Raw genomic sequence first — 24,885 nt, forward strand, 5'->3', positions numbered from 1 at the left:
GACACGTACCCTAGGCGGATGATGTCAGCGCTCTTCTGACAGCAGCCATGCCCCCATCTGCTCTGCCCTCTTGTTACAAGCCTCAAGTGCTCAATGGTGTGAGAAGCCCAGGAGCCACTGCAGATGCTCTCTCTTCAGGTCCATCTAGCCCATCAAGCCTTTCTGCAGCCAGCAGTCTTGACAACTTATCTGGGAGTTTTTCAGAACTGTCTTCAGTAGTTAGTTCAAGTGGAACAGAGGGTGCTTCCAGTTTGGAGAAAAAGGAGGGTGAGACGTTCTACAAAAATAACTTTCTAACTGGTATTGTAGCCCCGTATTTGTCATTTGGGATGCTAAAAAGTCATTTTTAACCTTAAATACAAGGTATTAGTATAAAATTAGTTAACATAGCCTTAAAAAGGTTTAACCTTGTATTACTTTCTTCCTTCCAAGTTGACAGTTGAAGAGTCTTGTGCTACTAACCTACTATTTATTTATTTATTTTTGAGATGGAGTTCTGCTTTTGTCGCCCAGACTGGAGTGCAGTGGCGCGATCTCGGCTCACTGCAACCTCTGCCTCAAGGGTTTAAGCAATGCTCCTGCCTCAGCCTCCCGAGTAGCTGAAATTGCAGGCACCCACCACCATGCCCGGCTAATTTTTGTAGTTTTAGTAGAGATGGGATTTCACCATTTTGGCCAGACTGGTCTTGAACTCCTGACCTCAGGTGATCCACCCGCCTCGGCCTCCCAAAGTGCTGGGATTATAGGCGTGAGCCACCGCCCCCCGCCCTTAATCTGCTCTTTAGATGTAAACCTTTTCTGTTAAAATTCATCCCACCTTATGCAACAGTGTGGAGCTTGTTTTCATAAACTTTTTTGTGAAGTAGCTTACATCCTGAAAGATAGGAAAACTGGTTTTAAAAATATAGATGCAATTAAAAACAAAGTTTAAAATAAAAATGAGAGTACTGAGACTGCCCCATTGATTAGCTTTTTTCTAATGTTGAAATTTTGTAGCTTTCTCTTGTTCAGTATTATATCCTAAGTGGCTATTAATATTATTTTCTTCATATATAGTAACATTACAAGACTTTACTGTTATAGTGATGAAATACATTATTCTGATGTGAAATTCCATTTGTTTTGGATTTTTTTATTTCCCAGTTCCAGGAGTAGATTTTAGCATAACTCAATTCGTAAGGAATCTTGGACTTGAGCACCTAATGGATATATTTGAGAGAGAACAGGTGAGTAGATAAATCATATTGTTTGGATTAGTGTTTTATGGAAACTCAAGGAAAATTTGGAACATACTTGAAATGAGCTGAACCATGTAAGCTATTGGGGGAGAATGTTTTTTAAGAAATGACATCAGTCAGCCTTCTAATTTGGCTTGACCTTGAAACTTCCATTTAGTTTATTCGCACACAGTTGACTCGAGTAGTAATGGTAAAGTAGCTTTCTTGAATGGAAAGTTTAGCTTATTCAGTTCTTGAAGTAAGTTATCCTTGAGCACTGTCTATTCAGTTCTCTCTCAAGCCTGACACTTTTCTAGCTGCTATGGGAAGGTATATGAATATGCCAGCCATATCTGGGCTTTTCTAAGCAGTCTCAGTTTAAAGTACTCTGTCAGAATACATTTACTGATTTTTGTTGTTGTTCAGAAAATAATGTTACTGTAGATTTGCACTCTAAGGGACTTTCATTGTAGTTATGGAATTAGAATAAGAACATATGGCCGGGTGCAGTGGCTCACGCCTGTAATCCCAGCACTTTGGGAGGCCGAGGTGGGTGGATCACTTGAGGTCAGGAGTTCAAGACCAGCCTGGCCAAGATGGTGAAACCCCCGTCTCTACTAAAAATACAAAGAAATTAGCCAGGCATGGTGGCAGGCACCTATAATCCCACCTACTCGGGAGGCTGAGGCAAAGAATTGCTTGAACCCGGGAAGCAGAGGTTGCAGTGAGCCAAGATCACACCACTGCACTCCAGCCTCGGCAACAGAGCAAGACTCGGTCTCAAAAAAAAAAAAAAAAAGAACATATGAAAATTCAAGTTTTAGCATAGATTTTAGAAATTTGTAGAAGGGAGCCAGGCACGGTGGCTCATGCCTGTAATCCCAGCACTTTGGGAGGCTGAGGCGGGTGGATCACCTGAGGTCAGGAGTTCAAGACCAGCCTGGCCAATATAGTGAAACTCTTCCCTACTAAAAATACAAAAAATTAGCTGGGCGTGGTGGCGGGCACCTGTAATCCCAGCTACTCAGGAGGCTGAGGCAGGAGAATCGCTTGAACCCGGGAGGCAGAGGTTGCAGTGAGCTGAGATTGCACTTTTGCACTCCAGCCTTGGCAACGAGAGTGAAACTCCGTCTCAAAAATAAAAAAACAGAAATTTGAAGAAGGAAAGGATTACCGTGAGCTAGGCTCATCAGGGAATGCTTCATGGAACGTGTGTAAGTAAAACAGGATTTTAAAGAATGGCTTCAATTTCATGAAGCCATAGTGTATTACTGTATTAAAGGTAAAAGGGTTACTTTGAACAGTGATGCAGAAGTACCACTTGGCATAGTCCAGACTCAGCAGGAACCATTGAAAGACATTATATAAATAGGGTTGGATGTAGAGTGATGGTAGAAAAGTATTATGGAAAAGATAAAATAGAATACCTGAATGTGGTTAATTTGAAAGTGCCTTTTTGTTTTGCGTTTTAGTTCTGCTCAGGTTCTTATGCTAAATGGAAATAATATTTTTAGAAATGTTTAAAATAATCTGGAGTAAATGTGTGAATCTTACATATTATGAAAACACCAATATATGAATGTCCACCAAATAAGTAAGCATTCTAAGTAGTTTCCTCCTCTTTTGTAAGATCACTTTGGATGTATTAGTTGAGATGGGGCACAAGGAGCTGAAGGAGATTGGAATCAATGCTTATGGACATAGGCACAAACTAATTAAAGGAGTCGAGAGACTTATCTCCGGACAACAAGGTATTTTATTTTAATAATTGCTGTTGTCAGTTTAACAGTTTGCATAAAGGCAACCCTCAGTGTACTAAGTTATAATTTAAAAATATGAGAGAATCTGTTTAATAGGAAGAATACTAATTTAGGATTCAGGAAACTGGGATTAAGTCTTAGCTGTGCTACTGACTTAAACTTACTGAGCTGCTGCTGTTAACGATGTGAACCTAAGTAAAATTTCTGGACCATTCAGAAATTTGGGAATTGTTTTAGCTCCTGAAAATAAGGAAGTTAGTTTGAGATTATTTTCTGAAGTTATTCTAGCTCTTAAATTGTATTATTTTAAAGGTCTGAAACTTAGGTATCACATTTCTTATGGTAATATAATAGATAATAACTAAGTGTTCAGGCTAACCCTTAAAGTACTATAGTAGATCTCTTATGTAGATAAAATTTTAAGCGCTTGGGATGAAAATACTGGAAAGCAATAATGTTGCAACTGAGGAAATTGAACAAAACAAAGTTGAATAATATTTTTATTTCTCCTTAATGTTGGTGCTTAAGGAAAATGCAAATTGCATTTATTCAGCAGATGTTAACACTTTATACCAGGTCTGGGTATAAAAAGGTGAATTGTGGCCAAACGCGGTGGCTCACGCCTGTAATTCCAGCACTTTGGGAGGCCGATGCAGGTGGATCACGAGGTCAGGAGATCCAGACCATCCTGGCTAACATGGTGAAACCCCATCTCTACTAAAAATACAAAAAATTAGCCGGGCGTGGTGGTGGGCACCTGTAGTCCCAGCTATTCAGGAGGCTGAGGCAGGAGAATGGCGTGAACCCGGGAAGCGGAGCTTGCAGTGAGTGGAGATCACACCACTGCACTCCAGCCTGGGCGACAGAGCGAGACTCCATCTCAAAAAAAATAAATAAATAATATAAAAAAATAAAAAGGTTAATTGTTTTGGCTAGGCTCAGTGGCTCATGTCTGTAATCCCAGCACTTTGGGAGGCCGAGGTGGGCAGATCACGAGGTCAGGAGATTGAGAACATCCTGGCTAACATGGTGAAACCCCATCTGTACTAAAAATACAAAAAAAAATTAGCCAGGCGTGGTGGCGGGCACCTGTAGTCCCACTTACTCGGGAGGCCGAGGCAGGAGAATGGCGTGAACCCGGGAGGCGGAACTTGCAGTGAGTTGAGATCACGCCACTGCACTGCAGCCTGGTTGACAGAGCGAGACTCCGTCTCAAAAAATAAAAATAAAAAGGTGAATTGTTTTAAGTGTCAAAACCACATTTAACTTTATTGTTCAACTGAGGGAGTGATTTATCTTGGGGTCAAAAATATCCAATAATTGAACGTCCTGGCTGTACACCTGGGGTTAAAGAGAAACCTCCATCAGTAAAAATGAAGGTATTTTCAGGGAAGAATGTATGCTAGCCAGGATGGGGTCCACCTCTGAAGAAATAAGAGCACCTCTAAAAATGTAGATGATTCAAGCTAAGGAATACTTTAAACTGGTATTTTAGAATAAGCTCAATTAAAGGTAGATGTATTTTACTGCCTGATAAGGACTAGGATAAGAAATTTAAAGTGCAATATGCTCTTGGCTGTTTCTAGTATAGAGGACAAATTTTTGTAAGATAAAGAGGAGGGAAAGTCCATGATTTCCTGAAATATTAGTATACAATATAATTAGCACTAAAAATGAGAAACTAGAACCCTCAGTTGTAGACCATCGTTGTAACTCTACTGGAATAATACTGATCTGGTATGATAACAATTATGTTGGAGTACCAGGATAACAAGAGTCTTTTAGGAAAGAGGCAGAGTAGAAAAGGAAAGCAGGCAGTATTTGTGTATTAAACATATCATAGCTATTAGGACTGCACTGAAAAGCTGAAAGGCTCAATGACAGAAATGGATACATTGCCTCCAAATGGCAGAGGTACTTCCATGCCACCTCTGGTCCTGTAGTCACTCTGATACATCCAGCTCCACTTGGATAGGAACATTCATTCCTATATGAAGAAGAAACGTCATGAGACAAAATGCTGTGTCTGATCTAGCATATCAGGGTTACTTTACTACATAAAGTTACCATCTTCTTTATGTTCATTCAAAGCCAATACTCTTTTTTTCCCCCAACCTGATGTTAGTCAACCAACAGGGATTCTGTACTTACACCTGATTTGCAAAGTGGAACTGGTAGCTGCCTGTGATGATCTTCTAACAATCTATCATGCTGACTTAACAGCCTTACCTATCATTCAATGCATCAAGTCAATAGATGACTAGTACCATACTGATCTTTCAGTATTGATAAATATCATCTTGTATATGTTGCAGATGCCTCAGTCAAGCATTTGTCACAGTCTTTATTCTGTAAAACACTCTCCATATGCTCTTCATAATCCTTAAAGATTATTGCAGTTCAGCCACTTCTGTAAGTGTTTATTAGCATTGGCATGTTGGTAGTAGTCCTGTTCTTCAGACCATAGCTTTGAACCAGAATAGTGCTCTTCATCTCCAGAGACAAACTTCCATGCACTAACCCAGCAGTAAAGGATTTGGCCCCTACATGGGAAAACAGCAGTGTTGGAGATATTGTTGTAGAGATTAAAGGAGAGAGTTGTGCTACAAATACACCAAAGGAATTAGAAAATTCTGTTTAAAATTCCATTTAAAAAGCTTTTATAAGAATAAAGATAGAAAAATAGATATGATTATCTTGATCATTGACATTTGGAAAACACACAAATTCATTGCTGAGGTAAACAATCTATTATGGGACAGAATATACATTCAATAGGTGGTAAACTGTGGATTTCTCATTCTAGGGTGATTTAAAATTACCTGAGGCTATGCAAGTTTCTGTCATAATTCTTCCTCATATTTACAAAGAAGAAAGAGATTAAATGTTGAAAGGGCTGCGTAGTTAGTAAAGAAAGTAATTTGAAGAAGAAAATGTGTTACAAACTCATTAAGAATAGGAGATAAGAGAAAGATTTTCTGAAATATTTCCATAAAACCCCTTATAACTTGTCAGGTCAAAAAGTAATAGTCTAAATGCAATGTGGTATGTGTACTGGTTTTGATCCTAGAACAAAAAAAAGGACATAAGTGGGGAAACTAGTGAAAAAATGACATCTATAATTTAGTTAATAAGTTTTGACAAATGTGCTATGGTTATATAAAATGGTAACATTAGGGGAAAGTGGGTGAAGGGTACATAGGAACTCTGTACTTTCATCCTTTCTAAATATCTAAATTATCACACTATGAAATGTTTTTAAAATTGATAGTAAGCGGCCAGGTGCAGTGGCTCACACCTGTAATCCCAGCACTTTGGGAGGCTAAGGCAGGTGGATCACCTGAGGTCGGGAGTTCGAGACCAGCCTGACCAACATGGAGAAACTCCGTCTCTACTAAAAATACAAAATTAGCCAGTCGTGGTAGCGAATGCCTGTAATCTCAGGTACCCGGGATGCTAAGGCAGGAGAATCGCTTGAACCCAGGACGCGGAGGTTGTGGTGAGCCAAGATCACACCAGCCTAGCCTGGGCAACAAGAGTGAAACTCTGTCTCAAAAAAAAAAAAAAAAGTTTAAAAAAAAAAATTGGTAGTAAGAATCAGAAAAATTAGGTGGTTATTTTTGGTTTTGATGTTCATTGTTTATTGGCAATTTATTTTTCTACCTTCAAATTTTGTTTCATAGGTCTTAACCCATATTTAACTTTGAACACCTCTGGTAGTGGAACAATTCTTATAGATCTGTCTCCTGATGATAAAGAGTTTCAGTCTGTGGAGGAAGAGGTATGTTCATATAACTTCAATAGTAGGTTTGCCGTATATATTTAGTTCACTTTGTATCCTCTTGTTTCTTTTTCTTCCTTTAGTTTGCATTATATAATTTTCACCTATAAAATCTGTTTTCAAGCTGATTATCTAATATTACTAGAGTAATATTACTCTAGAAAATATTACTCATGAATTTATAAGACTCATATTCTTTGTTTTTTGTGTTTGTTTTTGTTTTTGTTTTTGTTTTTGTTTTAGTAGAGATGGGGTTTCGCCATGTTGCCCAGGCTGGTCTTGAACTCCTGAGCTCAGGCAGTCCACCTGCCTCGGCCTCCCAAAGTGGGGCACCATGCCCAGCCCTCATATTCTTTGAATAACAAAAATATTAAAACCTGTTTTGTATTCTCAAAAATAGAATCAGACGAGTCAAGAACCATGTTCCCCAAATCAGAAAATAACACAAATGCTAATGCACATATATTTCAAACCATTTTTCTGACAGATGCAAAGTACAGTTCGAGAGCACAGAGATGGAGGTCATGCAGGTGGAATCTTCAACAGATACAATATTCTCAAGGTAATAAATTAGTGAAAGTAAAGTTTTCTGAGACTGTCGTTTTCAAAGCCTGAAGCCATAAGTAACTTTCATAAGAATCTAATCTGTCTAGCCTGGTAAGTCCTTGACTTGGCATCAGAGACTATTTTGGGAAAGAGGATACCCTTGGAAGGTTAATATTCTCCAAATCCCTGTGCTATTTTTAATAAAGGATAATAATTCAATTCTTGTTGAACATATTCAAGTTTATGGGTTATGCTTTATCTTGGGGTAATGCTAAATACTATAGGTTCAATACTTTATATAAAGTACTGTTAAAGTACTCTATTGTAACAAAGCTGAATTTTTTTTGTGGCGGATACCATCTTTATAGTCATACAATGCTTATTTTTTTATCCTGATTGACTACAGGTTTCTGAAAGTCCCCAAATATATTATCTTTTTATAAACTTTAATAGTACTCTCTTCATCTTTTCCAGAAAAATATATTTTAAAAATGTTTTGAGTCATTTAGTGACTGCTGTCTTACTGATTTCAGTTACTCTTCTTAGGAACTTTTTCAACATTATGTTTTTCTTGAACTATAGTAATCAAAACTGCACACCATACTTGATGCATAATGAATTCGTATTAACTACATTGATGCAGTATATTCCTAATAATTGTAAAAATAAGACAGAATTAATATGTGACAAATGCCTTTCTAATACACAAATGCTAAACTCTGAACAGTATCAAATCTTTCAGCTGTATTGTATTACTGTTTCATAACATACTATGAGTATAATATGTAATCAGGCAAATACATGCCTACTACAGGTACATTTCAGTCAAGTCCACTTTGTCTACAAGCATTAACAAAATGTGTGGAGTTTTGTTAGGAGTGAGAGCAGGAGAGAGGTTGTGTGTTTGATTTCTAAAGTAGTTGGATTTGAGAAAGATACAGTTTTCTTCCTCTAATAAAGGTATTTTCATGCGTTGTGTAATAAAAATTTTTTCAGTGATGAAACGGGTTTTTTTTGTTGTTGTTGTTCCTTTTTAATGCATAAATGAGATCTATTTGTGACAGTTACGATCCTTGATTACATCTGTGGCAATATTTTGCATTATTTGAGCCAAGACTAAAACCATCAGCTTCCAGGTGTGCTCTAGGAACCAGCAGGGGGCTGTAGCACCTTTAAACACAGCTAAGAAACAACACTAGTATTGTGAATTTTGTTCCTAGAAATACTCCTAATGAGACTGATATCCACCTTAAAATCTTCTGCGGACAAAAATTTTCTGAATCAGAAGGTCGAGGGAGTAATTGTGTATGTGTTGAGGGGTGGGGGACGCTATTTCAAATATTCTTAATTTAAAACAGATTAATATGGAACTCAGACAAATACATTGGGGAAAAAGGATATTCTTCTCTTTCTAGTACTTTATACAGAAAAAACTCGGCATGTCTGATTTGGAGGTGTTTTTGTAATAGTTTTAAGTTAATGAGAATGGAAGTGTTTTAATAAATTAACAGTATTCCTGACCTTCACATATGGCCTTTTTTTCTTTGAATTTTTTTAATCTCCAAAATGTAGCTATACTTCCAATTTTATGGTTGGGACAAAGTATTTTTAGTTGATTAAAATAACACATTTTATATTTCAGAGTACAGTTTTGCCTACCTTCTAGCTAAATGTATGTCCCATGTTTGGTTTAGATGAAGAAGTCAGTAAGTAATTCCTAAAGATTTGATTTTTCTGGTTTATTTTTTATAGATTCAGAAGGTTTGTAACAAGAAACTATGGGAAAGATACACTCACCGGAGAAAAGAAGTTTCTGAAGAAAACCACAACCATGCCAATGAACGAATGCTATTTCATGGTAAGATTCCTCCCCACCAACTCTACCACTGTCTTCCACATTAGGATAGTTTTTTTGTTCAGATATGAAATAATAATAAGCCTGTATATTCTTTATGTCAGTATTTTAAGATAAACCTACTATTTCTGTAACTTTCACATTTATATTTTCAACTTCTTTTGAATTTGTGTATTTTATAATGGATTGTTTTTAAATAAGATTACCACAATAAAAATAGAAATGAGAGTGTTGACTATCTTTTCCTTTTTTCTTTAAATAGTAAATTTTGCTTATGGTCACTCTAGGAAATTTTGTGTTTTCCATTTAACTAGTTGATTGAATTAAAAATAAGACCTGGGAATCACCTCAGAAGAAGGTGTACATCCTATTCTGATTTTGATTCTAAGTATCAAACCCACACAATTTGAAAAGAGCCATTGTTATTGAACCTGTAGAGGTTTCTGATGACTGTAGAATTGAAACCATAGAATTGAATTGAAAGCACAATTACTTATTCTTCTTGGAATTTTCTACTTTTTTTGTATTATAAGCTGGCAGGTGTTGATTAGTCTTTCAAATTTTAGCAAAGTTAAACATATTAATGTAGTATTTATGAGGGCTTCAAGTACATTACCCATAGTAGTTCCAGTCTGTTTCTTCATTTGTCCTTGATTGCAGAAAAATTTTAGAGACCTGTAAAGTTCTCTAAAACACAGTAAATTTCATAATACCCTGGGAGAATGGCTGTAACAGAATGGATTCATGTGCAGAATCTAAACATGTTGCACTCCTTATTCCAAAACCCTAAATAATTATCATGATAATCTCTTGACACAGAGCATATTTATTTATCTGTTAATTGATGGTTATAATATGGTTTTTCTAATTTGTAATATAAATAATTTTGGTTTTCCCAAGTTAATTCAAAAAATGATTCTATTCATCTGTATTTCTGTAAAGTAGAATTCAGTATATTTTCCTGTCTGTCTGTGGAAAGGGAATGTGATCTTGATAAATGAATTAGCTGTGGTTTTTTGACTTTTTCCATCCCCCACTCTACTCCACTCCCAAGGAAAGAGGAGAGAGAAGTCAATGTGCAGGGGGTGAGGGAAAGCACCACATTTGCAGATAGAATCTTGTATCGTAATTAATGAAAGGCAGAAGTGGAAGGATAGAAGAGAAGAGGTATAAGAAAGAGAATAAGAATGTGAAAGTTGGGCCGGGTGCGGTGGCTCACGCCTGTAATCCCAACACTTTGGGAGGCCAAGGTGAGTGGATCACCTGAGGTCAGGAGTTTGAGACCAGCCTGACCAATATGTTGAAACCCTGTCTCTACTAAAAATACAAAAGTTAGCCAGGCATGGTGGTGTGCACCTATAGTCCCAGCTACTCAGGAGGCTGAGACAGGAGAATTGCTTGAACCCGGGAGGCAGAGGTTGCAGTGAGCCAAGATCATGCCACTGCACTCCAGCCTGGGCCACAGAGCGAGACTACATCTCAAAAAAATTTAAAAAAAAAAAGAATGTGAAAGTCTACTTGGGCCACTTGGTATCTTCAAAAAAGCACACAGGCATAGGCATCATTCTAAGACCTAATTGCATTTAGCTTTGCTATCTAAAGTGAATTATGAGCCTCTTGGTTTTAGATTTTTATGGATTTGCAGTCTGGCATTTGGTAACTCTTACACTGATATTTCAAGTACTCTGTTTTTCTAGTTCAATCTGTGTCCTTATTTTAGCACATAAACCAGCACTCTGTTAGAAACATTAGTTGATGTTAGCAGTTCTTTATTCTAAAATAGCTGGCTGACAGTTAACTTGTTACCCTTTTTCGTTTTGGCTTTATTATGGTTGGGCTATATATTTAAGAATTCAGTTTCTAAGAAACTAGTTTTTTACTTTTTATTCTAAGATAAATTTTAAATTATTGTTACCCATCTATATGTGTTTCAGGGTCTCCTTTTGTGAATGCAATTATCCACAAAGGCTTTGATGAAAGGCATGCGTACATAGGTGGTATGTTTGGAGCTGGCATTTATTTTGCTGAAAACTCTTCCAAAAGCAATCAATATGTATATGGAATTGGAGGAGGTACTGGGTGTCCAGTTCACAAAGACAGATCTTGTTACATTTGCCACAGGTAAGAGATCACTTGTTCTCATTTATTTTGGTGGTAATCAGATAAGAACTAGTTGCATTTTTGAGGGCAAAGCATTATGTTGGACAGTCTTAGGAATGCAAGCTAGGCATGTTTTAGATTGCTTTTGGCCCTCTCACCAATTGTAATAATAGCTAATATTTATTAAATGATCCGTATGGGCCAATTATAATTTAAGCACTTGACCTGTTTGGCTAATTTAATCATTAGAATATCTGGTGCCTTAAAGCATACTGAGTAGAAAGTAACATTAGGCATGAAAGAGGCTTTATTGTAGCCCTTGAGTATTGTAGGACTCTGTGGACTCTAAAAATCTAGTATTCAAATGCTAAAATGGCATTATTTGTCAAATCTAATTATTTGATGGCAGTGCCTGAGCCTCTCTTCCACTGTGATACGATCCTAATCCTCAATTTGCAATATTACTATAAGAACTTGAAATTAAAACATTGATCCTTTTTGAAAGGAAATAATAATCAAATAACTACTTTGCACTTTTTTTTTCCACTTTTAATTACCTGTTCTAACTCACTTGTTAAAAATCATTTAAGTAACTTGTCCCTAACTTATAAAATCCTTATAGGCAAAAAGTAATGCCACTTGAAAAATCCAGTAAGATTAATTCCTGAGATTTATTCGACAGTTAGGGCACTGCTTATTGAATATACAGAGCAGTAGTTTATCAAGCATTAGCATGCATTAGAGTCACCTAGATGGCTTGTTTAAATCACAGATTCTTAGGCTCCACCTTCTCAGTTGCTGATTTAGTAGATCTGGGATGAGACTCTAGAATTTGAGTTTCTACCAAGTTCCCAGATGTGACACTGTATTTCTGACCACTGATCTAGAAAAAAACCCCTAGAGCAGTACTTTGCACTTTGGCAGCACATTGGAATCACCCAGGGAATATTAAAAAACTATTAATGCCTGTGTCCCACCCTCACAGAATCTCTTTTAATTGGTCTGGGGCATGATCTGGATATTAGAATTTTTAAAAGCTTCCCAGTTGATTTCAAAGGGCTTCCGAGCTGAAGAATTGCAGTCATGGAGGGAAACAGGTTCTTTCTTTGTGTTTGTTTTGTTCTTACTGTTACCCCTCTAAATTTAGGCCTGCATAGGTAGTACACAGTAGGCCCTCCTATGTATGACGTCCCACTCACTTCTATTTTAGATCATAAATTGGAGTGGTTAGGAGGCATGTAATTTCCTGTAAATTGAACACTGCTGTTTTTATTTGTCATATATGGTCTGAAGGCTAAATAGTTCTGATTATTAGTAATAAGCAGCATTCTAATACCTCCCTCTTCTTTGGAAGATAGAACCATCAACTGGTCTACAGAAATCTCCTGTTATCTTCTAAAAAGAAACAATGACGTTAATACTAAAAGGTTGTTTGAAACTAAGAAAGGCTAGTCACATGCCTGAGAGGAGTGAGAGGGTAATCTACTGAAACTGGTGGTGAGGGGAGACTACCAGTTTACTTCCTATCTAAGGAAGTAACATTTCAGCTGAAGTCTGAAAATTGAGTGGGTATCAGCCAGTGGAAGAGTGGTAAAATAGATAACATTCCAATGGTGGAGAAAATTCTGTGGATGGGGACCATTAATAAAGCAAGTTTGGCCTTTGTGAAGAAAAGAAAACTAATGTGCATGGGGCATAATGAACATAAAATGAGATTCAAGAAATTGGAGCCATTGTACAGAATTTGGATTTTCTCCCAAGTACAGTGACAGCCTCTAAAAGGTTTTAAGCAGAAAAGTGACTTGATCTAATTTTTGTTTGTTTTAATTAGTTGGATGGGAAAGGTTTGGACAGGAATTACAGAAGAAACAGGAAGACTGGTTTAGAAAGCCATTGTGTGATAGTCCAGGTGAATATTTCAGTGATTTGACTTAATAGTGACAGTAGAATTAAGAAAAGTAAATGGATTTCAAATATATTTTGAAGGTAAAATCAACTGGAGTTAATTAGATATGTGTCCAACTTTGCAAGCCACTTAATGGAAGTCCACTAAACCTTCTCCTTCCCACTTGGCCAGTGACTTTTGTTTTTTGCTGAGATACAAACAAGGTGGTAGAGTCTGTATCTCTATAAGGTTATTACATTTTTCAGATTTTATAGTTAAAATAAGGACTAACTAAATTGACAAATTATTTCATTAATAAGAGTAATAGAAGACATTCTTAAAAAGTTCTTTTAGGGGTGAAATGATAAAAACAATTATAAGTATTTATGTATAAATAATTTTTTAAAACTTATGCCGTGTCCACACATTGTCATATTTATGTATCAAATTTGACTTCAGGGTGATCTTTTCCTTTTCGTTTTATAGGCAGCTGCTCTTTTGCCGGGTAACCTTGGGAAAGTCTTTCCTGCAGTTCAGTGCAATGAAAATGGCACATTCTCCTCCAGGTCATCACTCAGTCACTGGTAGGCCCAGTGTAAATGGCCTAGCATTAGCTGAATATGTTATTTACAGAGGAGAACAGGTAATGTAGTTTTATTTGTTCATCTTCAAAAATGCTAGGGAGGCATACTTTAACTTTTTATTAATCTCTTGAATTGACAAGACATATTGCCTTAACTGGATTTTTTAAAAATTTTATTTGGAGATAATTTCAGATTTGGAAAGTTACAAAAATAGTAAAGAGAATTTTCTTATAACCTTTACCTAGATTTCCTAAATGTTAATATTTTGTTCTCTTTTTTACTCTTACCATTCTCTCCTTCTTTCCTTGTGTGTGTACCTATTTTTTTGTGAACTGTTTGAGAGTAAGTTGCAGGGCATGTCCCTTTACCATTAACTATTTCAATTGTAAATTTCCTAAAAACAAGAAGATTTTATTCAAATTTCGCCAGTCGTTCCGGATTTTTCTTAGCTCTTATAAATAATTGAAATCTTGTATTTAACAGCCTGTCCATAGCAAAGAAGTATATAACTGTGTTTTGCTCTCAGTGAGAGCCAAAAGTAGTTCTAGAGCAGTGTTGTGAACTGGGAGTAGGTATCGGAATCACCGCAGTTACTAAAATCAGACATGATTTTAGTCTTATCTGATACTTATGAACTTAGTATTCATCTTAGACTTGCTGATTGAAAATCTGAAGAACTGTACTCAGGGTAAAGATGTTTTGAGAAAATGTCCCTAGATGATTCTGATCTACAACAGTAATTTAGAACCTCCTCCCTAAGATTAGGAATACTTCCGGAAAGTCTGTTTATCTTTCAAGAAAATTTTTGTACCATTATTTGAATTTATCTTTCTCTTCCAGGCTTATCCTGAGTATTTAATTACTTACCAGATTATGAGGCCTGAAGGTATGGTCGATGGATAAATAGTTATTTTAAGAAACTAATTCCACTGAACCTAAAATCATCAAAGCAGCAGTGGCCTCTACGTTTTACTCCTTTGCTGAAAAAAAATCATCTTGCCCACAGGCCTGTGGCAAAAGGATAAAAATGTGAACGAAGTTTAACATTCTGACTTGATAAAGCTTTAATAATGTACAGTGTTTTCTAAATATTTCCTGTTTTTTCAGCACTTTAACAGATGCCATTCCAGGTTAAACTGGGTTGTCTGTACTAAATTATAAACAGAGTTAACTTGAACCTTTTATATGTTATGCATTGATTCTAACAAACTGTAATGCCCTCAACAGAACTAATTTTACTAATACAATACTGTGTTCTTTAAAACACAGCATTTACACTGAATACAATTTCATTTGTAAAACTGTAAATAAGAGCTTTTGTACTAGCCCAGTATTTATTTACATTGCTTTGTAATATAAATCTGTTTTAGAACTGCAGCGGTTTACAAAATTTTTTCATATGTATTGTTCATCTATACTTCATCTTACATCGTCATGATTGAGTGATCTTTACATTTGATTCCAGAGGCTATGTTCAGTTGTTAGTTGGGAAAGATTGAGTTATCAGATTTAATTTGCCGATGGGAGCCTTTATCTGTCATTAGAAATCTTTCTCATTTAAGAACTTATGAATATGCTGAAGATTTAATTTGTGATACCTTTGTATGTATGAGACACATTCCAAAGAGCTCTAACTATGATAGGTCCTGATTACTAAAGAAGCTTCTTTACTGGCCTCAATTTCTAGCTTTCATGTTGGAAAATTTTCTGCAGTCCTTCTGTGAAAATTAGAGCAAAGTGCTCCTGTTTTTTAGAGAAACTAAATCTTGCTGTTGAACAATTATTGTGTTCTTTTCATGGAACATAAGTAGGATGTTACATTTCCAGGGTGGGAAGGGTAATCCTAAATCATTTCCCAATCTATTCTAATTACCTTAAATCTAAAGGGGAAAAAAAAAATCACAAACAGGACTGGGTAGTTTTTTATCCTAAGTATATTTTTTCCTGTTCTTTTTACTTGGTTTTATTGCTGTATTTATAGCCAATCTATACATCATGGGTAAACTTAACCCAGAACTATAAAATGTAGTTGTCTCAGTCCCCTCCAGGCCTCCTGAATGGGCAAGTGCAGTGAAACAGGTGCTTCTTGCTCCTGGGTTTTCTCTCCATGATGTTATGCCCAATTGGAAATATGCTGTCAGTTTGTGCACCATATGGTGACCACGCCTGTGCTCAGTTTGGCAGCTATAGAAGGAAATGCTGTCCCATAAAATGCCATTCCTATTTTCTAATATAAAACTCTTTTCCAGGAAGCATGCTTAAGCATCTTGTTACAGAGACATACATCCATTATGGCTTGGCAATCTCTTTTATTTGTTGACTCTAGCTCCCTTCAAAGTCGAGGAAAGATCTTTACTCACTTAATGAGGACATTCCCCATCACTGTCTGTACCAGTTCACCTTTATTTTACGTTTTATTCAGTCTGTAAATTAACTGGCCCTTTGCAGTAACTTGTACATAAAGTGCTAGAAAATCATGTTCCTTGTCCTGAGTAAGAGTTAATCAGAGTAAATGCATTTCTGGAGTTGTTTCTGTGATGTAAATTATGATCATTATTTAAGAAGTCAAATCCTGATCTTGAAGTGCTTTTTATACAGCTCTCTAATAATTACAAATATCCGAAAGTCATTTCTTGGAACACAAGTGGAGTATGCCAAATTTTATATGAATTTTTCAGATTATCTAAGCTTCCAGGTTTTATAATTAGAAGATAATGAGAGAATTAATGGGGTTTATATTTACATTATCTCTCAACTATGTAGCCCATATTACTCACCCTATGAGTGAATCTGGAATTGCTTTTCATGTGAAATCATTGTGGTCTATGAGTTTACAATACTGCAAACTGTGTTATTTTATCTAATCCATTGCTTAATGAGTGTGTTTTTCCATGAATGAATATACCGTGGTTCATATGTTAGCATGGCAGCATTTTCAGATAGCTTTTTGTTTGTTGGGAAGTTGGGGTTTTGGGGGGAGGGGGAGTATTAGTACGTTGCATGAAATAGCTTACTTTATAATGATGGAATTGCTTTTTCTTTTGTCTTGTGATTTTTTTTTTTGAAGTGAAATTTAACTTTTTGTGCAAGTAGTACTATTATACCCATCTTCAGTGTCTTACTTGTACTGTATCACATTCCATACCCTCATTTAATTCTTAATAAAACTGTTCACTTGTTTTTCTGGGTAGCATGGTAATTACTGGAATAGTATAAATGTGTTGAATGGTCTTTGAGAAAATGAATTAAGATTACAATAAACCACAATTGCAGGAAAACAATGTAGTTCTGAGTCTAATAGTGATAAAGAATGCAGTTTGAAGTTTGAAATATTGAATATTGTAGCTGTACTTGCTCATTAAAATGAAAGTAGCTGTGAGATGCTTTCAACATTTAGTCTATTCAGCACAACTGGTAAACCTTAAAGCTCATTCCTGGGAAATTAATCTTCTTAACTTATAAAAAGGAATATATTTTTATTTCTGTGTCATATGAAAACATTCTTAATAAGTTTCCAAATCTCAAAGTTAGTGGTATTTATTGCTATTAAAAGAAAGAGTAATCGCATATGTATATTAGACTTCAGTATGTTAAGTTTCCTTGTGTGTGAGCAATTCCCTGATTTCCATAATAAGAGAATGATGGTGCAAATAATTCTTAAGTCTTTTGGCTTTGAAATACATTTCAGCAGCTCTGTGTTCCTGCTTCATTTAGGGTAATATGGAAGTATTTGCTGCTATTTCAAGTATGCATGCCAGTCTCGGGTGTTTATTGTGATCCAGTTGTTTGCAGGTTGATGAGGCAAGAAAGCATGCAGATTTCCCAGAGCTCTTATAGTCAGTACTCCTGACTGTGCCTTTACCTGCTGTCCTATTACAGGACTAGAGTGACAAAGGAAGCAAGTAGTGGTGGTACTCATTTTTCACCAGGAGAACTGTCAGACTTCTATAAAATTAAATTGTAATATGCCTTTCCCTGTCTCCTGTGTCTCCACACCTCCTGCCCTTTTGTGCTGACTAGTTTAGACAGGCTATGACCTAAAATACTTAATTACTGCTCTTCACATAAAGCCATTATTATTAGAAGTGATGTCTCCACCTTGTCACCCACCCACAGCTGTCATTTCCGTAACACAAATATATACAGAGCCCCTCAAAGCAGTATGCCCACATACTACAAAGCAGCACTATACAAAGGTGTGATCTGCCGATGGGATTGGTCTGCGAACTGATATTGTTACCAGCCCATGGAGATATGAATACAAAAAGTAAGGGTAAACTTTTAAAAACTTTTATAGCAAGACATTGCTGTAATTTATTTTTCTTATTTTTAATTGAAATATTGGCCTGCAATGGATTGGAAACTTAGAAAGAAACTGATCCTTCACAGATAATTTGAAAGGTTTCACATCTGCTTTGTATACCAGTAGACTTAGCACCTAGCATATCTGGCACATAGGGTTCCTCAGTAAATTTTTCGTTGGGTGAATAAATAGTGATTAAGTGATTGGGCTGTAAGGTCAGATGTATATGGATTTTAATTTTTATTCTACCCCTCACCATCGTTGTGATCTTGAACAAATTATGTACCTTTTAAGATTTTTATAACACTTTATAAGGTTGTAGAAAGTAATAAATGATTTTCTGTCTGTGCTACTAAGCATTGTACTTGCCAGTAACTGGTTATTATAATTAATATTTCCCTGAATATTCCAGAATTAATGGCTTGAGTTTTCCCACTTGTCACGGAAACATAGAGCATAGAATTTTAAAACTGCAAGATGTATTAGCCACTAATTCCTTTATTCTAATGAAATCTTAAGAAGCTCAAAATATAAAGTATATAAATCCCTAACCCACAGGAATCTGTTTTAAAATTACTGATATGAGCACACAGACAGACATACCCATAATCCAGTCTGCATCATATTTGTCTAGAAAAAAGCCTCACTCAGATGAACTCATCAAAAATCCAAAACAGTGTATTGTAAGCACAAATCAGTAGAGACAATCTTGGAGGATTAGCACCTCCCACAAAGTAGTGAAGTAAATATTGTTTAAAATGATTGGGTTGAGGGTGGGAATAAAAGAAATCATTAAAACCATTAAGATGACGCTGTGAAGAAGGCAAAGTCTTCGAAAAAGTAAGTCTTTAGAACTATATGTAATTAGAAATTAAAAACTCAAACAGATTACAGACTGGGCATATCTGAAGATAGAATTGGGGAACTAGAAGATACAGTGGAAAACACAGATTGTAGCACAGAGAGAAGAGATGGGAAATACAGAGGGCTAGGAGACAGAATAGAATGAGGAGATACAACATAAAGAATAGGGGAGGGAAGAGACTTGAAAAATACCCAAGAATTCATAGAGAATATGAATCTTTAAAGAAGCAGCAGCTTAAGAAACACCTAGGAGGATGAATAAAAGCAAGTCTGCTACTAGACATAGTGAAACTGCAGAGCATCAAAAGACAAGAAAAAAAATACTTACTAGAAAAGACAAAGGATTAATACACTGACAGCAGATCAGTGGCAGCAACAGAAGCCAGAAGACAAAATAACTTAGAAGTGCTGAGGAAACTACTGTTAGCCTAGAATTCTATACACAGATAAACTAGTACTTAAAAAAGAGGATGAAAAATGCATCTGCTCTTTTGCTGAGAGATCTAGTAGATTGTTCTTTAGCAAAGAAAGCAGTTGAATCCAAAAGAGCAGGATGCAAGAAGCATAGTGCACAAAGAAATCGGCAAACATGTCAGTAAAAAGGCTGAAATAATATAACTGATAAGGAATAATATTCAAGACCAATCTGTATGATTTGCTACTATTTGTATACGTAGGAAAAAGTACAACATGCATTTGCTTGTTTATGAATAAAATTCCTTCAGGATACACGTGAACTGTTGGAAGGAAACCTCAGTGCCACTGGGATCAGATGTGAAAGACTAAACTGTATATCCTTTTATTCCTTTTGAATTTTATAACAGGACTATTTAAAGCACTATAATAAGCATTGTCTGCAATACACAAGTAATAGATTTGAGATTTTTAAAACAAGGTGGAATGAAAGTACTAGTTGACAATAGTATGGGAAATAGAAGCTTTAAGATGCTGATGAAATTTAGACTTTAAGTCAAGTATGCATATTAAATTTTCAAAGATAATCACTAAAAGAGTAGAAATCGAAGTGTAAAGATTGAAGAAAGGTAATACAAATGAACCAGTCGAATAAAAATAAGAATAACAGGTGACTCGTGCACTTTTTTCCCCAAAAAATATGTCAAAGAATCAGGTGAACAGGAAATATCTGTAAAAGGTTAAGAGTATCCTGGACGCACCTGAAGAAGAAAAATAAAGCAGGAGAACCAGAGATGAAGAATAGAATTAATGCTGTCGTAACTGAGATAGTGTGATATTGATATAGGTGTAGAGTCTTTGACCAGTTGAACAGAGTTTATAAGGGCTTTTTATATACCAGAGTAGCACTATAGATCCTGAGGAAAGGAGGAACTATTCAATAAATTGTAATGGGACAGCTGGTAATCCACATGGAAAAATACATATCTGGATATATACACAAAAATAAATTTCACATAGATTTTATATAGGACATATGTGAATAGCAAAATATTTTAAAGGTTTAAAAGAAAATATAAGAAACTGTTAATGACTTTGAGATAAGGAAGAACTTTTTTTTCTTTTTTTGAGACGGAGTCTCGCTCTGTCGCCCAGGCTGGAGTGTAGTGACGCGATCTCGGCTCACTGCAAGCTCCACCTCCTAGGTTCACGCCATTCAAGGAGGAACTTTTTAAGTGACCTTCAAACAACACTGACCCTAAAAGGTTGGTAAATTTGACTGTATTAAGTTTAAAAGCATCTGTTAATCCAAAGGCCACTAAGAAGAAAGTAAAGAGACAAGTCATAAAGTGTGAGAAAATATTTGCAGCACATAAAGGGCAAATAATTTATATTCAGGATATACTAAAAACTACAAGAAAAAAATGAAAAACGCGGGGCGGGGGGCGCGTGTGAACAAGCGTTTCTCAAAATGGGAAACTCAATAAACATCAAAAAACGCTTAGCCTCATTAGTAATCAAGGAAATTCAAACTAGGTACCATAAGGTACCATTTTATACCTGCCAGAACTGACAAAAGTAAAAAACTTAGCAATGCAGGTGTTCGGATCTGGATCCCATACATTGCTGTTGGTGTGAGTGCTTTTGAAATCCATTTGGCATTACTGGTAAAATGAGAAATTCCTCCGACATCTAGGTGTGGAGAGAAACCCTTGCTCAGCGGCTTCACGAGTCATACGAAGGAACACAACACTGATCACAATGTTTATATAATGACTATCTTCTCTTTCCACTCTTCACAGTTCTCCAGCCTCCTTTTTGCCCCAGAAATCTAATCTTGATGGGCTACATGGACAGATTCCCTGTTCTCTGGCTTTCCCCTTTTAACCCAAGGGGAGTATCAGCCGGATGTTGGAGGGTGATTAGGAAGAGAGTGAAATTCAAACATCTATTTCCCAGCTCCCATCCTGATCAGTCTCAGGACAACCTTGGCACTATTGACGTTTTGGGAAGATAATTACTTGTTGGGGCTATTCTGTGCATTGTCGGATGTTTAGTGGCATCTCTGATCTCTAATCACTAAATGCAAATAGTACAGCTGCCCCTTGTGACAACCAAAAGTATCCCAGACATTGCCAAATGTCCCCTGGAGGACAAAATCGCCCTGGGTGAGAATCCCTGGGTTAGCTGTCCCCTTCACTAAAAGGTCACCCCTCCTTACAGAGTGGCCTTCCTTCTTACACAACTTTGGAGGTAAAAGCAGTCAATGTAAAAACTAGCGATTTAAGGGAATAAAATAGGTAAGGTAATCAAGAAAAATCAGAAATCTACAATATAAAAAAGTTTTGATAGAGAAGTAGCCACAAATACAAAGAAAAATGTTTAAAAATTTTAAAGACCGCTTTGCTCAACTCCATACAAATAAATTTGGGAACTGAGATAACACCTAGGGTAATATTCTAGTAAAACACAAATGACTAAAACTAACCCAAGAAAAGAGAGCAAGTCTAAACAAACCAGATGCCAAAAAAGAAAGAAAGAATTCTGTCAAAGAGCTATCCCCAAACAATTCCCAGACCCAGGGAGTTTCATGGTAGAGTCTTACAAAACATTAAGGAATAGATAACTCCAATGTTATTTAAACTGTTCTAAGAGTGTAGACAGTTTCCAATTTTTTAATAAATACATATAGAATTAATATCAAGCTTCAACAAGGTGAGAGAAAAAGGAGTGGACATTAATGCACAAAATGTTAATTGCAAGCAAAATCTAGCACAACATTAACAGAATAATACCAGTAGGAATATAGATAAACTGCAAATGGATATGAGTGAGCTTTCGGGTGATGGAAATGTTAAAGCTGTTTTTTAAAACTAATACATAATGACCAGTTGGACTTTATACCAAAAATGCAAGGCTGGTTCACCCCTAGAAAATAATATAGGCCGGGCACAGCGACTCACGCCTGTAATCCCAGCACTTTGGGAGGCTGAGGTGGGTGGACCACAAGGTCAGGAGTTCAAGACCAGCCTGGCCAACATGGTGAAACCCCATTTCTACTAAAAATTAAAAAAAAATTAGCCAGACATGGTGGCGCATGCCTGTAATCCCAGCTACTTGGGAGGCTGAGGCAGAAGAATCACTTGAACTCAGGTGGCGGAGGTTGCAGTGAGCCGAGATTGCGCCATTGCACTTCAACCTGGGTGACAGAGTGAGACTCTGTCTCAAAAAAAAAAAAGAAAATAATATAATTCACCTTATCAGTAGCTGACAGGGCAAAAATTAGACAACAATCCCCCTGAATTCTGAAAGGCATTTGATAAAGGCATCTAAATTTGATATATATATATGTGTGTGCTTATATATATATGTGTGTGTGTGTGTGTATATATATAGTGTGTGTGTACTCTATATATAGTGTGTGTGTGAGTCTGTGTGTGTATACAAGAATATATATATATACACACACACAAAATAGATACTTCCAGACGTAATATTTATACAGTTGCTCCTTGATTTACCATGGGGCTAGGTCCAAATAATCCATTGTGAATCGAAAATATTGTATGTCAAACATGCATTTAATGCTAGTGATATGATGGTTCATCTTAGAATTTTTTGACTTAAGAATGGCACAAAAGCATTATTCAATAGAAATTATAATGAGTTAGGATTAATGATTTAGTAGAAATCGTAATCCCATTGTAAGTGGTAAGGAGCTCTTTGACTTATAATAGGGTTACATCCCAGTAAACCCATCAGTAAAGAAGAAAAATCATTAAGTCTAAACATTGTTAAGTCAGGAACAAACTTTACCATGCAACACACCTAGACAAGGAGCATTTTGTTTTGATTCACCATTCTTGTGAGCTCTTTGATCTGGTATTTTCTTGGCCTTGTACCAATTGGACCTTTGTGCTGCTGGAAAAGACAGATGTCTACCTGTTGCCTCCTTCCCCTAACACTCTCCCAGTGGTTCTGCCAGAGTGCCCAGAATGTCCACTTTTTAAGCAGTTCTTTGGGTTCAGGTGGTGATAACATGCACAGATGTCATCTAGAGGGGCTCGTTAAACCCTCCGTTAACTGTCCTAAGAAGGTGGAGCACCTGTCAGGCAAACTTGAATGGAGAAAAACCCTGGCGTGAGAAGACAAAGATGTGGGAATTGCTTGGTAGACTCAGGTTCTGGTCTTGCTTCTAGCAGTTGGGTGAATTGAACAAGTTGCTCAACTTTTCTGGCCATCACTACCCTCTTCTGAAATCCAAGGGAGTATAGCTGACCCAAGTCCTTATTCCTAACAAAATCTTATGCTGAAAACCAACGTGTAAAATAGGTGAAGGCTGAAAAGGATAGGAGAGCTGTGAGGAGCCCAGTGACAGATTCCAGGAATCCACCAGGACTTAGCAAGTCAGATTGTGCAGAGCACATGAGGCTTCATTTCAATTTCTACCTTCTTGATTTATCTTTCTTCTCCCCATATCATAGTTCAAGAGAGGAAGTGCAAATAAAAATTGCAAACCCCAAAATTATACACATCATAGAAACAGATGTGACCTCTACAAGTTCTTCCAACTCTCAGTCTGTGAGTTTACGAGAATCCCAGACTGACGTTAAATTGTTTTCTAGCTGGATGATAACAAATTTAAAAGAATGATTACAATACAAAAAATTAGCCGGGTGTGGTGGCGGGCACCTGTAGTCCCAGCTACCGGGAGGCTGAGGCAAGAGAATGGCATGAACCCGGGAGGCGGAGCTTGCAGTGAGCCGAGATCGAGATCGCGCCGCTGCACTCCAGCCTGGGCGACAGAGCGAGACTCTGTCTCAAAAAAAAAAAAAAAAAAAGAATGATTACAACTGTACCACACTAGAGTATGATTAGAAAATTCCCCTTTAGATTGAAGTAACACTATACTGACCTGCAAGTATCTTTAAGATATATTGTCAAGAGAAAAATAAAGCAAAATGTCTTGTATACTACCATTTGTAAGAAAAAGAAGAGGAGGAGGAGGAGGGGAGGGGGAGGGAAGGGGGAGGGGGGAGAAGGGAGAAGGAGAGGAGGAGGAGGAAGAGGAGGAAAGAAGAAAAAAGAAGGAACAGAACAAGAAGAGAAAGGGCCAGGGCAGTGGCTCATTCCTATAATCCCAACACTTTGGAAAACCAAGGCAGGAGGATCACATGAGCCCAGGAGTTCAAGATCGGCCTGGGCAACATAAATGAGACTCCATCTCTACAAAAAATTTAAAACAAAAATTAGCCAGGCATGGTGGTGTTCACCTGTAGCCTCAGCTACTAGAGGTGGGCCTGAGGTGAGAGGGTCACTTGAGCCCTGAAGGTCAAGGCTACAGTGAGCTGTGACCACACCACTGCATTCCAGCCTGGGCAACAGAGCAACACCCTGTCTCAAAGAAAAAGAAGAAGAAAAAAAAAACTCATGTATATTTGATTATGCATAGAATCTCTGAGAAAAGGCCAGGCACGGTGGCTCACACCTGTAATCCCAGCACTTTTGGAAGGCCAAGGCGGGTGGATCACGAGGTCAGGAGTTCGAGACCAGCTTGGCCAATATGGTGAAACCCC

The 24,885-nt window shown here is 36.9% G+C and overlaps 1 protein-coding gene across 4 annotated transcripts in view; it reads left to right on the forward strand.

Annotated features, from left to right (window-relative positions):
* TNKS2 (tankyrase 2) overlaps positions 1-17,107 on the forward strand; it is a 67,050-nt gene extending 49,943 nt beyond the window's left edge. For all 4 annotated transcript variants that reach the window (XM_011540213.2, NM_025235.4, XM_017016699.2 and 1 more), the window contains 9 exons: positions 15-267; positions 1,144-1,226; positions 2,848-2,968; positions 6,661-6,758; positions 7,246-7,320; positions 9,057-9,162; positions 11,094-11,280; positions 13,631-13,787; positions 14,569-17,107. In XM_011540213.2, the coding sequence (XP_011538515.1) occupies positions 15-267; positions 1,144-1,226; positions 2,848-2,968; positions 6,661-6,758; positions 7,246-7,320; positions 9,057-9,162; positions 11,094-11,280; positions 13,631-13,787; positions 14,569-14,631 (1,143 nt within the window). In that variant the 3' untranslated portion in view covers positions 14,632-17,107. The remainder of the gene's footprint in view (positions 1-14; positions 268-1,143; positions 1,227-2,847; positions 2,969-6,660; positions 6,759-7,245; positions 7,321-9,056; positions 9,163-11,093; positions 11,281-13,630; positions 13,788-14,568) is intronic.
* Positions 17,108-24,885: the final 7,778 nt, after the last annotated feature.

This window comes from Homo sapiens, chromosome 10, assembly GCF_000001405.40.
Source record: "Homo sapiens chromosome 10, GRCh38.p14 Primary Assembly".
NCBI classification, from domain to species: domain Eukaryota; kingdom Metazoa; phylum Chordata; class Mammalia; order Primates; family Hominidae; genus Homo; species Homo sapiens.